This window comes from Homo sapiens, chromosome 10 (assembly GCF_000001405.40).
Source record: "Homo sapiens chromosome 10, GRCh38.p14 Primary Assembly".
NCBI classification, from domain to species: Eukaryota; Metazoa; Chordata; class Mammalia; order Primates; family Hominidae; genus Homo; species Homo sapiens.
The window spans coordinates 108,085,722-108,100,577 of NC_000010.11; the positions used below are offsets into that span (position 1 = coordinate 108,085,722).

Here is a 14,856-nt window from a genome sequence, read left to right on the forward strand (position 1 = left end):
AATTAGAAAGAGAAAACATAGAGACGGGCTTCTATTGCCACTATTTCTTTATAATCATGTTTTGGGATATTGTTCAGTTTTGGAACAAATCAGAAATGCAACACTGTAATACTGGCTGTGTGACAATGGAAGTCAGTAATGATGATCCTTGAGAACAGGGAGTTGTTTTCCTCACTGAATTCATGAAAAATCCCTGGATGTCCATTACCTCTTTTTCAGTGGCAAAAACCTTTGATTTGCTGAGCACATGGGCTAGATTTGAAAGTAGCAGCTCAAGACAGAGGTGAATATGTTTGAGCCAATTCTCTAGAGAAGCCCTGAGTCTTATCATATTCCTTTCATCTAAGCAGCTTCTCTTCAGAAGGCTCTCTCTTTCCGCTTCAGAGATAACCACTCAAATTTGTATTCAAAACATACTGGCGAGAGGAAAGAGGCATTTATACTGTGGTAATAAAATCCTGAAGTGATACAGGCCCCAATAGAACTTTTCAATTATGGTGATTTTCTAAAATTGATGTTGTATAAATAAGAGCATGTCCTCTGAAGGAAAGGCCACTTGTGGGCTGATAGACTGATCATAATATAAAAGCAGGCTCAGAAGATACTGTGCTAACAAAAAGCTTGATAATTTAGCCCCATTGAAAATTTTGAAAATGATGGATTTTACCTGTCTCATGAAATTATATGGAATCTAACACCAAGATTGCAAGATTAAGAATTTAAGAATGAAGAAAGGAGATACATAACCTAATAAATGAAAATAACCTATGATATGAATGAAAAATATGCAGTATTCCTATCTGTCACCCATGTGTAAGACATCATTAATCTACTAAAAAACACTGTCAAGCAGAGTACTGAGAAAACCTCAAAATTTTCTGCAACATAAACCTTCAGGCAGACATTCCTAACCTTTCAAAGAGAAACCTATACATAATCTCTGCTCTATCATCACGCCCAGTTTTATCTCACATATACCCCAATACAATATGTCAGTGCAGTGGAGAATGTTAAAAGTGGGTTAAAAAAATACCCAGCACTTTTACAAACTACCCAGAACTGTCCTATCACTATTTCTAGAATACTTACTATTTCTCACTTTACCACATATTGCTGTGTATATATGCTATTTTATAATTTATATAATTCTTTTATATATACTAACTCTTGATCTTTATAATAACTATATGAAGTAAAGCAAGATAAACAGTATTATTATTAATGCAAGATTAAAAATTAAAAATGCAAAATCAGCAAACAAACCAATGAGCAAAAAATGAAGATTGAGTGATATATACGTATGCATATATATATATATATATATTTATGTTTGTGTGGGTGTATACATATATATATGCACATGCTTGAGACCAATTACTATATAAAAAGCCAGCAGGTAAAATGAAGTTTAATACTAAGTTATTTTAAAGGTTTATCCCAAGAGCAATCTAAGAATTATTTGACTACAACTAGAAACGGCCGTCTAGTTTTCCTAAGATCTTTCTTGGCTCCTATTTTTAACTGAAAGCTGCCCTATCTCATCCAGCAATTCTGCTCCCACATAAATAGCATCTCCAGATGCCAATTTTAGAGAAAAAGAAAGCTAAATATATATATATATTTATATATATTATATATATTTATATATCATATATATATATTATATATAATATTTATATATCATATATTTATATATATTATATATAATAAATATATAACATATATTCATATATATTATATATAATATTTATATATCATATATTTATATATATTATATATAATATTTATATATCATATATTTATATATATTATATATAATATTTATATATCATATATTTATATATATTATATATAATATTTATATATCATATATTTATATATTATATATAATATTTATATATCATATATTTATATATTATATATAATATTTATATATCATATATTTCTATATATTACATATAATATTTATATATCATATATTTATATATTATATAACATATATAATATATTATATATCATATCATATATAATATATAATATATATAATATGATATATAATATATAATATATAATATTATATATTATATATTATATATTATATATTATATACATTATATATAATATTTATATATTATATATACTATTTATATATTTATTATATATAAAATATATATTATATATTATATATAAATAGTATATATAATATTTATATATATATAATGGGAAAAGAGATGCCCTTCTCATAATCTGGGACATTTTTTTCAATATGCTGAAACACAGGCAACTGATTACTCTTTTAGCTGTCTATGTGACTGGCTATAAATATTAATGCAGGTAACTAGCTGACCTTGGTAAAACAACAGGAATAGTTTTTCCTTAATGATTACCTGGATTGTATAGCATGGAATTGTGGAAAGCCATTAGTGGTGTCACTGCCACCCTAGTCTCAGGAAGGATCTGTGTTCAAAAATAATGGGTTGCATTCCATCTTTACAGCTACAGCTTCATCCAGATTTATATATCTAAATTTTTTGAAAGAAGAAAGTAGCACTAAGTATTTTCCTTTAATCAGAAAAATTACTTCACAAGAAAAGGCATCCTTACGTAAATTGGAGCTTTTGAAAAACAACTAAGTGGAAGACCTTAAACCATTTAATTCTCAGGGTTATTATGCTCTAGTAATGAAGACAATATTGGCACAAGGATAGGTGTATTAATCAAAGGAACGGAATGAGAGTTCAGAAATAGACCCACATATAGGTGGAAAATTGATATTTGATAGAGATTCCAAGGCAATTTAGTATACAATGAATACTTCCTATTTCAACAAATGGTTCTGGGATAATTGGATAGCTATATTAAAAACAAGCAAACACACAAATTTTGTCCATGACTTCACATTATATACAAAAATAACTTAAAATATATTAGATATGTAAATGTACAGACTATAATCATAAAGTTTCTAGAAAAATGCAGGAGATAATCTTAGTGACCTCCAATTAGTTGAAGAATTTCTAATAGGAAATGAAAAGTGCAAGAGAAATATATAAATTTAGCTCAATCACAATTCAGAACTCTTGTTCTTCAAAAGATACTATTAAACAAATGAAAAGTCACAGAGTTGTAAAAACCTGTTTTTTAAAACAAATATCTGACAAAGGATACATATCTAAAATGAAAAGAAAATCTATAATTAAACAAATACCTAATAAAAATTGACAAAATACTTGAACAACAACTTAACTAAATAATGTATATGAATAGTAAACAAGCTCATAAAAAGATTCTCAACATCATTACTCATCAAGAGAATACAAATTTAAGCCCTCATGAAATATCACTATACCTCCACTGTCAGGGCTAAGTTGAAAAAACTAACTATACCAAGTGTTAGTGACACCATGGAGCAACTGGAACTCTCATGTACTAATGGTAGAAATTAAAATATTGCAACCATTTGAAAAGCAGTCATATAGTTTCTTAAAAAGCAAAACAAATTATCATTATATGACCCAGTTATTGCACTTTTAGCATTTACTTAAGAGAAACAAAAACATATGTTCACACAAAGCCTTTTATGTGAATGTTCATAGTAACTTTATTTATAATAGCAACTAATAGGCCAGGCTTGGTGGCTCAGGCCTGTAATCCCAGCACTTAGAGAGGCTCAGGCGGGCGGATCACCTGAGGTCAGGAGTTCAAGACCAACCTGGCAAACGCAGCAAAACCCCATCTCTACTAAAAATACAAAAATTAGCTGGGTGTGGTGGCTGGTGCCTGTAATCCCAGCTACTCAGGAGACTGAGGCAGGAGAATCACATGAACATTTAAGGCAGAGGTTGCAGTGAGCCAAGATCATGCCACTGCACTCCAGCCTGGGCAACAGAGCAGGACTCTGTCTCAAAAAACTAAATAAATAAATAAATACCAACAAATATCCTTCAACAAAACATATATGAACAAATTGTGGTATATACAAGTAACAATATGCTACACAATATTAAGAAGGAAAAAGATATTGACATATACAATGATGAATTTCAAAATAATTATGCTAAATGAAATAAGTCAAAGTGAGAGTGCATACAAATTCTCCTAAAATAAAAATGTTAGACAAATTTAATTTAACAGAGTTTATTTGAGGTTCAGAGAGTTCCAATCTAACACTTGGGCAGTGAATATTTACAGACAGACACAAAAGTAGTGTACAGAAAGAGCTTGATTGGTTACAGTGAGGCATTTGCATTAGAACATCGTCTGATCAATTGGTTGCTGGTGATTAGCTGAAGCTTGGCTGCTTGTGATTAGCTCTGATACAGCTGTTATGAATGTTCTATATATACACACACACAAATATGGATATAGACAGATAGATGAATATATATACATTCCTAAGTTAATTTTTGGTTTGTTTACCTGCTGAGTTAGGTTGCAGTTTGTTAGTTATGCAGAAAATCAAGGTACAAGGAAAGTATCAGACTAAATTTAATTTAACTTTTCCATTTAAATAAAAATCTTAAAAATGTAAACTAGGAGGAAGAGGCAGAGCAAGATGGTCAAATAGAACCCTCCAGTGATCATCCCTCCCACCCCACCCCAGGGACTCCAAATTGAACAACTATTCACACAAGAAAGCACCTTCACAGAAAAACAAAAATTGGGTGATCAATCACAGTACAGGGTTTCCCTGAGGAGAGGAGTGGGGAGAATAAAGAGAATTTTGTCTTGTAACTTGATACCACCAGCTCAGCCACAGTAGGCCAGGGCACCAGGCAGGGTACTGATGCCTCCTTTCCAGGCTCTAGCTCTGGGATGACCTTACTAGACATATGCTGGGCCAGAAGGGAACTTGCTGCCTTGAACCAAAGAACAGAATTCTGGCAGGATTCATCAGCTGCTGACTAAAGAGCCCTTGGGCTTTGAATAAACATAAATGATAGCCAGACATTACTTGCCACAGGCCTTGAGTAAGACTTAGCACCGTGCTGACTTCAGGTGTGACCCAGCACATTCTCAGCTATGGTGGTCATGGGGAGAGACTCTGCTTAAGGAAAGGAGAAGGAAGAGTAAAAGCAACTTTTTCTTGCAGCTTGGGTACCAGCTTGACCACAGTCGTTAGGGGAGCAATCTGACTCCTGGAGTTTCTGATTCCAGACCTTGGCTCCTGGATAGCATTCTTGACTCACATTGGGCCAGAGGGGAGCCCACTGCCCTGAAAGAAGAGACCCAGGCCTGGCAGCATGTACCACAAGCTGAATGAAGAGTCCTTAGGCCTTGAGTGAACATCAGAGGTAACCAGGCAGTACTCACAGTGGGCACGGGGCAGTGGTGGCCATGGGAGGAAACTTCTGCTTGAGGAAAGGAGAGGGTAGAGTGAGAAGGACAGTGTCTTGTGGGTTGGTGATATGGTTTGGCTCTGTGTCCCCACCCAAATCTCACCCTAAATTGTAATAATCCCCATTTGTGAAGGGCAGGACCAGGTGGAGATAATTGAATCATGTGGGCAGTTTCCCCCACAGGGTTCTTGTGATAGTGAGGGAGTTCTCATGAGATCTGATGGGCTTCCCCTTTGCTTGGCACTCATTCTCTCTCCTGCTGTCCTATGAAGAGGTGCCTGCTGCCACAACCGTAAGTTTCCTGAGGCCTCCCCAGACATGTGAAGTGGTGAGTCAATTAAACCTCTTTTCTTTATAAATTACCCAGTCTCAGGTATTTCTTCATAGCAGCATGAGAACAGACTAAAATACTTGGGTACCAGCTCAGCCAAAGTGGAATAGAGCACCAAGTAGATTACTAAGTTTCCTGACTCCAGGTCCAGGTTCCTAGATGGCATTTCTAGACCTACCCTGGGCACGGGGTACCTTACCACCTTGAAAGGTTGGATGCAAGCCTGATTGGATTGGATTTGCCACCCCATGACCAAAAAGCCCTTGGGCCTTGTGTGAACATTGGTGATAGCCAGGGAGTGGTTGCCATGGGCCTTGGGTGAGGCCAAGTGCTGTGCCAGCTTCAGGTTGAACCGAACACATTCCCAGTGCTCGTGGCCACAGGGGTGCTTGTGTCACTCCTTCCTTAGCTGCAAGTAGCTCAGCATAGAGAGAGACAGACTGTTTTTTGAAGAGGTGGGTGGGGGAGTGGGGGATGCGGGAAAATATGGGAAGAAAACAAGAGTTTCTGATTGCTAACCCAGGGAATTATCTCAGCTATTACTCAAGACCACCAAGTTGGTTCTTCTATGAGTCTGCAAGAGTCACCGCAGTCTTGGGCTTGGGGTTTCATCTAATGCAGACGCACCTGCAGTGACTAAAGACTTATATCACATCACTCAATTGCCTTTGAATATGTGGAAAGCCTTTCCGAGAAGAATGAGTACAAACAAGCCCATACTGCAAAGATTACAATAAAGACCTAACTCTTCAGTGTCTAGACATTGACAAATATCCACAAGCACCAAGGACATCTAGGAAAATGTGACCTCACCAAACAAACTCAATAAAGCACCAGCGACCAATCCAAGAGTGACTGAGATATGTGATCTTTCAGACAGAGAATTCAAAATAGCTGTTTTGAGAAAGCACAACAAAAATTGTACTAATCTGATTAAAACACAGGCAAAAGATATGAATAGACATTTCTCAAAAGAAGACATACAAATGACAAACAGCTATATGAAAAAGGTGCCCAACATCATTGTTTATCAGAGAAATGCAAAGCAAAACTATAATGAGACATTATCTCATCCCAGTTAAAATGGTTTTATTCAAAAGACAGGCAGTAACGAATGCTATTGAGAATGTGAGGAAAAGGGAACCCTCTTCCACTGTTGGTGAAATGTAAATTAGTACAATCATGAGGTAGAATAGTTTGGAGGTTCCTCAAAAAACTAAAAATAGAGCTACCATATGATCCAGCAATACCACTCTTATGTAAATACTAGGTATATGCTTACTCAAAAGAAAGGAAATCAGTATATCCAAGAGGTATCTGCACTCCCATGTTTATTGCAGCACTATTCACAATGACCAAAATTTGGAACCAACCTAAGTGTTCATCTACATATGAATGAATAAAGAAAATGCGGTGCATATACACAATGGGGTAGTGTTCACATATTAAAAAAGAATGAGATCTTGTCATTTGCAACAACATGGATGGAACTGGAGCAAATTATGTTAAGTGAAATAAGCCAAGCACAGAAAGACAAACTTCCCATGTTCTCACTGATTTGTGGGAGCTAATAATTGAAACAATTGAACTCATGGAGATAGAGTAGCAGGGTATAATGTTACCAGAGGCTGAGAAAGGTAGTGGAGTGGGGTAGGAGAGTGGGAATGGTTACTGGGTACAAAAATATAGTTAGATAAAATTGATATTATCTAGTATTTGATAGCACAACAGGGTGATAGAGTCAACAATAATTTATTGTACATTTAAAAATAACTAAAATAGAGTAATTGAAATGTGTGTAACAGAAAGAAACAATAAATGCTTGAGGCAATAGATACCCCATTTACTGTGATGTGATTATTACACATTGCATGCTTGTATCAAAATGTGTCTTGTATCCCATAAATACATACAGCTACTATGTAGCCATCAAAAAAAAATTTTAAGGGCAAACTAATTTGCAGTTGCAGGAAATAGGATCAGTGATTTCCCAAGAAAGGGGATAGGGTAGAGAAGACTAGATTAGAAAAGGGAAATATGAAATTTGGGGACTAGCTATACCTATTATATTGTTTGTGGTGGTAGTTTCACAGGGATATGCATTTGTTAAAACTCATCACAGTATACACATTACATATCTTAAGTTCCTTATACCTTATTTTTCAATAACTTTAAAAACATGAATATAATAGAGACATGTACAATGTGTACTTTAGTCTTCCTATAATGAACTGAGACTACCTTGGTTTATCACAGTGAAAACAGGCTTATCACAGGACAGAACTTTGCATGGCCAAGACTTCTGCTCTTACTTCCAAATGATATTTTCAACAGATGCAGAATTATAGGTTGACCTTTGCATTTCTGCAGTCAGTTCAAACACATAAATACATTACTTTCTCATAAGAAGTCAGCTGTAAGTCTTATTTGTACTCCCTTGTACTTAATTGTTTCCTTCTTTTCTGGCTGCTTTAAAGATGTTTTATTATAATCATTATTATTGCTTTTCAGAAAGTAATTTGTGACATGCCTTGGTGTGATTTTCTTTTTACTTATTCTTTTTGCAATTAACTGAAATTATCTGATAATATGGGATATTTTTATTAAGTATATCACTCATTCCTTCTGTGACATAATACACTTTTTCCTTAAGATACATATTGTCTTCCAAATAACCAAGGTTCTGTTTCATTTTCTTCTATGCTTTAGTTAGGATAGATTCTATTACCTTATTTTAAGATTATTGAAATTCTTCTGTAATGTTGAACTTGCTATTAAGCCTACCAATTTTTCATTTTATTTATTATACTATTCAGTTTTAGAAATTCTATTTTTTATTTTTTATTTATACATTTCTTATAATTTCCATCTTGTTATCACATTCATCTGCTTCAAGTGTGTGTATACATTTATAAAATTAATATATATACAAATTAAATAGATACACACACATATATATGCATGCACACACACAAACACACAAATTCCTTTGCTTATTTGATCATCACTATAATTTATTTTCTGTTTCTATTAACTAATTTTACTTCTGATTTTAGGTCAGATTTTACTGTTTCATTGCATATTTACATAATTTTCAATAGGATTTAGTACATTTTAAATGTTATGTAGTTGAATGTCTAGATTTTGTTGTGTTCTTTTAAGAAAATTGAATTTTATTTTATTAGTGGTTAGTTTATTTGTAGATTAGCATAATCCTTTTGAGAATTTTTAATTTTTATTAAGGTAAGTGTAGAACAGCCTTTATTCTATAACTATTTGGGCCTATTCTTAAGGCAAGGAATTTCATGGTTTTCTACTGAATGTTCTAGTTGTTGAAAAAGGTCTCATCATTCTGGTTGGTCAGAACTAAAAACTCTTCTAACCCACTTCAGTCCTGTAACTGTTTAATTTACAGCTCCTTGGTCACAGGTTGTTTTCTTCATCTTTTGTTCCCATTTAGACACATGTAGTATCACCCTGCACTTGAACACATTATTATTAAGCCAAAGACTCAAGGGATATACAGCTTTCTGAAGCTTTTTGTTTAAATGGCTCCCTTTGTTCTTGTATTTTACCCCATAAATTCCACCTCCCTCCATTCTACCTCCTCCAACTTGGATTCCCATATCTTTAATTCGGCGAGTTCTTTATATTTTGCTTTATTTCCTCTTCGTTGCCTCCTTGGGGGCAGAGTTCAGTGTTTTCAGACAGAAAGCCAGAATTATTGTAGGGCTCATCATATTTCTTTTTCTTCTCTCAGAAGTATACTCTTCGGCTGTCTACTACCCAATATCTAAAAGTATGTTGGATTTGTTTTAATATATTTTTACAATTTTCTAATTGTTTATATCATAAAGCTAATCCATAAACTGTTACTCAGTTATAAACAAAATAGAAATTAAAACTTTAAAAACGAATAATGATTATAACAAATTACTGGAAACCTACTCCATAGCCTAGGGGAGAGTATTCTGTAATGGTTCAGAGCTCACATTCTAAAGTCAGACTGCCTGGGTTCCAACCTTGCTCCTGTCTCATTGCTTATCTGCACTGAGCAGGCCACTTAAACTCTCAGTGCCCCAATTTCCTTATGCTTTTAAAGGATGATGATAAGGCTACCTACCTCACTGAGCTACTGTAGGGGATAAATAAGTTAGTAAGTGTGAAATACATAGACTAGTCACTGACAAAATAAGTGTTACTTAAGCATAAGACATTACTATTTATCTGATGTTCAATAACTTAGCTCATTTCCTTTTCTAAGCCTAATCTAAAATCCATGTTCATTCTACATTAATTCTCGTCGTTTATCATTTTCTTCCTATTTTATTTTCTAGTGAAATAGTTTGATTCTTAGCATTACTCTGATTTTATATGGGGTCAAATTCTAATCTAAGGGATGACCAGATGAGAAATTTGTTTCTCCGGGAAGAATTGTTCCCATTTTTACTCAGCACACAATTTAAATAAATTGATTTTCTTTTCCTGAGGATAATATATATCAATAGATTCGATGCTTCATTTATACATTTTATACCTAGAAAATAATTCTCTTCAAAAGCATACTGTCAGAGGATCTGTAGAGTGTCACTTTACCAGCTGAAACCTCTGTGGCCAGCGGTGCCTCTGCTTGGGTTTTGCTCAAACCCTCTGGGCTTGTTCCACCCAGTTGGCCCAGCAGGCTGTGCTTGGTTCACATTACTGGCCCAGATCCCACAGCTGCCAAGGGTGAGCCAGTCACAGAGTGGTGAGAGATGTGTGAGTGAGTGAGTGCAGGGTCCAGCCATTGTGCACAGCCAGGTGTGCCAGCTGTGAAGGGAGGGCAGCTCCAGGTACCAGCACAGGTGCCAGCTCTGTTCAAGGCTTGTGGGTGAATGAGACATACCACAAGTGGCTTCCACTTCAGGTGCTGGGGAACACAGTGGAGTCCAAAATCTCAGAGGCGCCAGGAACTGCAGAGACCCAGGGAGGGTGTTACAGCCCGTCACAGCCCAGGCTTCAGAAACCCTGAGGTCTGGGCTCCCAGAAGGGCCGCAGTTCTCCTCTCCTTCTTGCTGCCCACAGCACAGCAAGTGGGGAAAGGGGGGCATGTTTCAGCCTGTTTGCATTATAGTTCTTTCAGTCCTTCCACCCATTGCATGGGGCAGCCACCCAGCACCAGTGGAGAGTGGGAGAGCTATAGTGTTACAGCAGGTCTGGCTCAGGGAATCCTGAGGTCTGGGCCCCCAGAAGGGTCACCACTCTTCACTCCTGCAATCTAAGAGCATGAACCGCCCACAGCTTGGCGAGCTGTCCAGGGACATGTTACAGCTCCTTATGCTCCTGCCGTTCAGCAGGTCCTGAGTCCTTGCCCTGCTTCCAGGAAGAATGAAGTTACACAGTACACTGGAGGATGACCAAGATGGAAAGAGCTTTATTGAGCAACAGAACAGCTCTCAGGAGACCCAAAGTTGAGAGCTCCTTTCTGTAGGCAAGTCCTCCCAGTGAGAGTCTGAGTTTGGCTGAGTCTGAGGCTTTCATGTGCTCAGAATGGAGGAAGTGCATGCTAATTGGTCCATGGGTGGCCATGGGTAGGCTTCGAAAAAGCACCATCTGATTGGCTGGAAAGCATCAATAAAGTATTCACTCCAGGTTGCAGACTTCACCCAGAACTGGTAGCACAGCCCTCAGGCTTCAGGCACACCCTGACCTGAAGGTGGGGTTTCAGCAGGGATCCACCTTTTCCTGCCTATGAACCTGTCTGCCTCCCATCATCAACATGCCATCCACGGCACCCAGGCTTTCCACACCAAGGGGTGCCTGCAGGCCTACAGTGAGCCCCTCAGCCTCCATCCCACAATCATTAGTGCCCAAAGTCTGGAGGGGCCAAGGTGGCAGGAGACTGGCATGTCAATGCAACCCCAAGCATGTACACACCCCGTCAGGTGGCAACAGCACTGGGGCTTGGCCACAACTTTGCTCCACACTGGGGCAGTCACTGGGAGTAGGAAGAGGCCACATAGCAGGAGCAGGCACTTCCAAGCCTGTGAGAGTTGAGTGCTTCCTGGGCCCCAAGAGCGAGGGATGCTGAGGTCCAGTGCCATGGCTGTGCAGCTGCAGATGTGCACAGGAACACGGCCTGTGGCCCTGCCAACTCAGTAGGGTGTGGGGCTCCCTCTGTGATCACCTGTTCCTGGCCCCTGCTGGGCTCCATGGAACACACAGCCCAGGCCCCACCTACCCTGCTGCAGCTGGTGTCCTCGAAGTGGCCACTCCAGAAAGGCTGCCACCACCATCAATACTATCCAGTCTTTCAAATGGAACCACTGGCAATGGCATTTACCTTGACTAAGAAAATTAAGATGTTTGTATTAAATCTCATCATATTTACTTTCCTTGAATGTACTGCATACAAATTAGAATCTCTCATGTTTTGCTACAATCCACACCCCCGAAGTACTCATATATGATTAAATTTGCTTTCTGTCCTTTACTTTTCAGATGTTTGTATAGACTGGATTTTACATGGGTGACCTCTTACAGGTCTTTTCCCTGGATATCAATTTGTTATTTCATGAAATATTTCAATAGTATGCCTGGAAATGAGACTGGACAATTTGCAACCATCTCCAGCACTGCTCTAGAGCTTTATACAATTATAGTGTAATTAAATAAGTTTAAAAATAATAAAAGTAGAATATTTAAAGATCTTAACAGCATTTTAAATAGATTTTTAAAATATGCTATTACTTTAGAAATTAAACTGCTTTTGATAGCCAGTGAGGAGATGAGCTTTTAAAAGCTATGTTTAAAAATACATTTAAATTAAAATGTAGTTATAAGGTATAATGCAGTGACTTATAAAGCGTCTTCTGGCTCAAAAAACCTAACAGAAGTAAATGCCTTCTGTACATTTAGTCATGGCTTATGGCATCTGTATTATGCAGGAGGAACAGTAACAAATTTAGCAGCTCAATGAGAACACCAGAATCAGTTCAAGTTTCTCTATATTTTTGCCAAAATTTATTACAGTCACCATGAACAAATAAGGGTTTAATTTTTTAATAAGATATTTATTTAGTATTCAAAAAACTATTCCGAAGGAGTTGAAATCAGTATGTCAAAAAGGTATCTGTACTACCATGTTTATCACAGGACTAATCACAATAGCAAGGTGTGGACTCAAATTATGTGTCCATCAAGGGATGAATGAATAAAGAAAATGTGGCATATATACAGTATGGGGTACTATTCAGCCATAAAAAAGAATGAAATTCTGCCATTTGCAACAACATGGATGATCCTGGACGACTTTATGTTAAATAACATAAGCCAGGCATAGGAAGACAAATAGTGCATGATCTCACTAAAGAAGTTGATTATATAGAAGAATGGTTGTTAGCAGAGGCTGAGGTGGTTAGGCAGGAGTGGAGGATGGGGAAATATTGCTCAAATGATACAGGATTACAGTAAGATAAAAGGAAAAAAATGCAAGAGATCTATTGTAAACATAGCAAGGTGACTATAGTTAGTGCTGATACATTGTATCAAAAAATGTAGAAAGAGTGGATGTCACCTGTTCTTACCACAGAAATGATAACTATGCAAGATAATTCATTTGTTAATTAGCTAATTTAACTATTTTACAGTGTACATGTACTTCAAAACATCATGTTGCACATGATAAAAACATACAATCTTATCTGTCAGTTTAAAAAAGGCAAACAATTTGCCTTCTCTTCTAAGGGTATTTCCAAGTCATTTAAAATGGTTACATTTTTTGATGACAGCATTGAAAAGCAAATGCATTTTTTTATTGGACATGAAATTGCTGAAGTTCATTTTAATTAAAAATGCTTTCAAACAATTTTATATTCTTTATAAAATTAATGTGCTAAAGTATTATGGACTTCTGGTTTCCAGTCTAGCATGTCATGAGCTTAGAAGTCAACAATCCATCCTAATAACAAATATAAAGCTGAGCAAAATGAAAAATCAACAACTCTTCTAAGATTTTTAGATCTTTCAGAGAAGTAAAAGTTCAGTGCAAACCACTGCCATCCTCCCAAATTGGAGAAACAGACAGGCAAATACTGAGTGCCACAATTTACTGAAATACAAACCCAGTAGAAGAAATCTCCATGGGTACCAGTGGTAGGTTAGGAAAACCTGAATTCTAATTGACAAATTGCTGAAAGCTTCACGTGAACAAATCTGAGTGTGAAAAACTCCGGAAGGATCCAATCATGGTGGGAACCCCCACTTTTATTTTGCCTCCAGGAGTTTGATCTCACCCTCAAAGTGAATATCAGAGAAAAATCTCCCCATACTTCCATGGGGGTGCAGGGAGTAACCATTTTGAAATATGTCAGAACATTCTGTTCTTACTAAAAGCCCTGCCCTAGGAGAAATAATTTATGAGGCTCTAGCCTGCTGGGGTTTTTTAGAGCCTAACCTACCCAAGGGAGTGGATAGGCACCCAACTCTAACCACCCCTAGTCATCCATGTAGGGGAAGGGAAATATCCAACCGCAGTACTCTCTAGTAATCCTGTCCCAACTAAAGATGAGAAAACAAAAACAAATAAACAAACAACAGAAAGAGGGAGTGATGAAGTCCACAGGCCAGGGGCACAGTCTCATCCAAAGTCTAAGACTAATCATGGAAATAGAATGCTTCTCCTCCCTCACACCTTGCTACTACATTGCTAAAGGCCTTAAATTTAACACACATTCTTTTACCCAGTACATCATATCTGCCTTTCAGTAAAAAATTACAAGGCAATTTAGTAGAAAAGGCAAAACACGCAGTTTGGGAATCAGAACTAAAATCAGATGTAGCAGTAATGTTAGAATTATCAGAATAAAGAACAAACAAATAACTATGATTAATATGCTAAATGGTTTAATGGAAAGTGTAGATAACATATAAGAACAGATGAATGTTAGCAGAGAGATGGAGATTCTAAGAAATAATAAAAACATGCAAGAGATTAAAACACTGTAATAGAAATAAAGAAGTCTTCAATTAGCCCACCAGTAGATTAGACATGGCTAATGAAAAAAATCTCTGAGCTTGAGGATATAACAATAGAAACTTCCAAAACTGAAAAGCAAAGAGAAAAAGAATGAAAAAAAAAAAAAAAAAAAAAGAACAGAGTATCAAAGAACTATGGGACAAATACAAAAGTGATAATAAACAGTTTGG

At 36.5% G+C, this 14,856-nt stretch overlaps 1 annotated feature.

Moving 5' to 3' along the window:
* Positions 11,216-12,185: an enhancer, noted in NCBI's record as "H3K27ac-H3K4me1 hESC enhancer chr10:109856695-109857664 (GRCh37/hg19 assembly coordinates)". NCBI's record gives its function as "activates a minimal SCP1, AML or CMV promoter by ChIP-STARR-seq in primed H9 embryonic stem cells {active_cell/tissue: H9 hESC(primed)}" and the evidence as "EXISTENCE:reporter gene assay evidence [ECO:0000049][PMID:30033119]".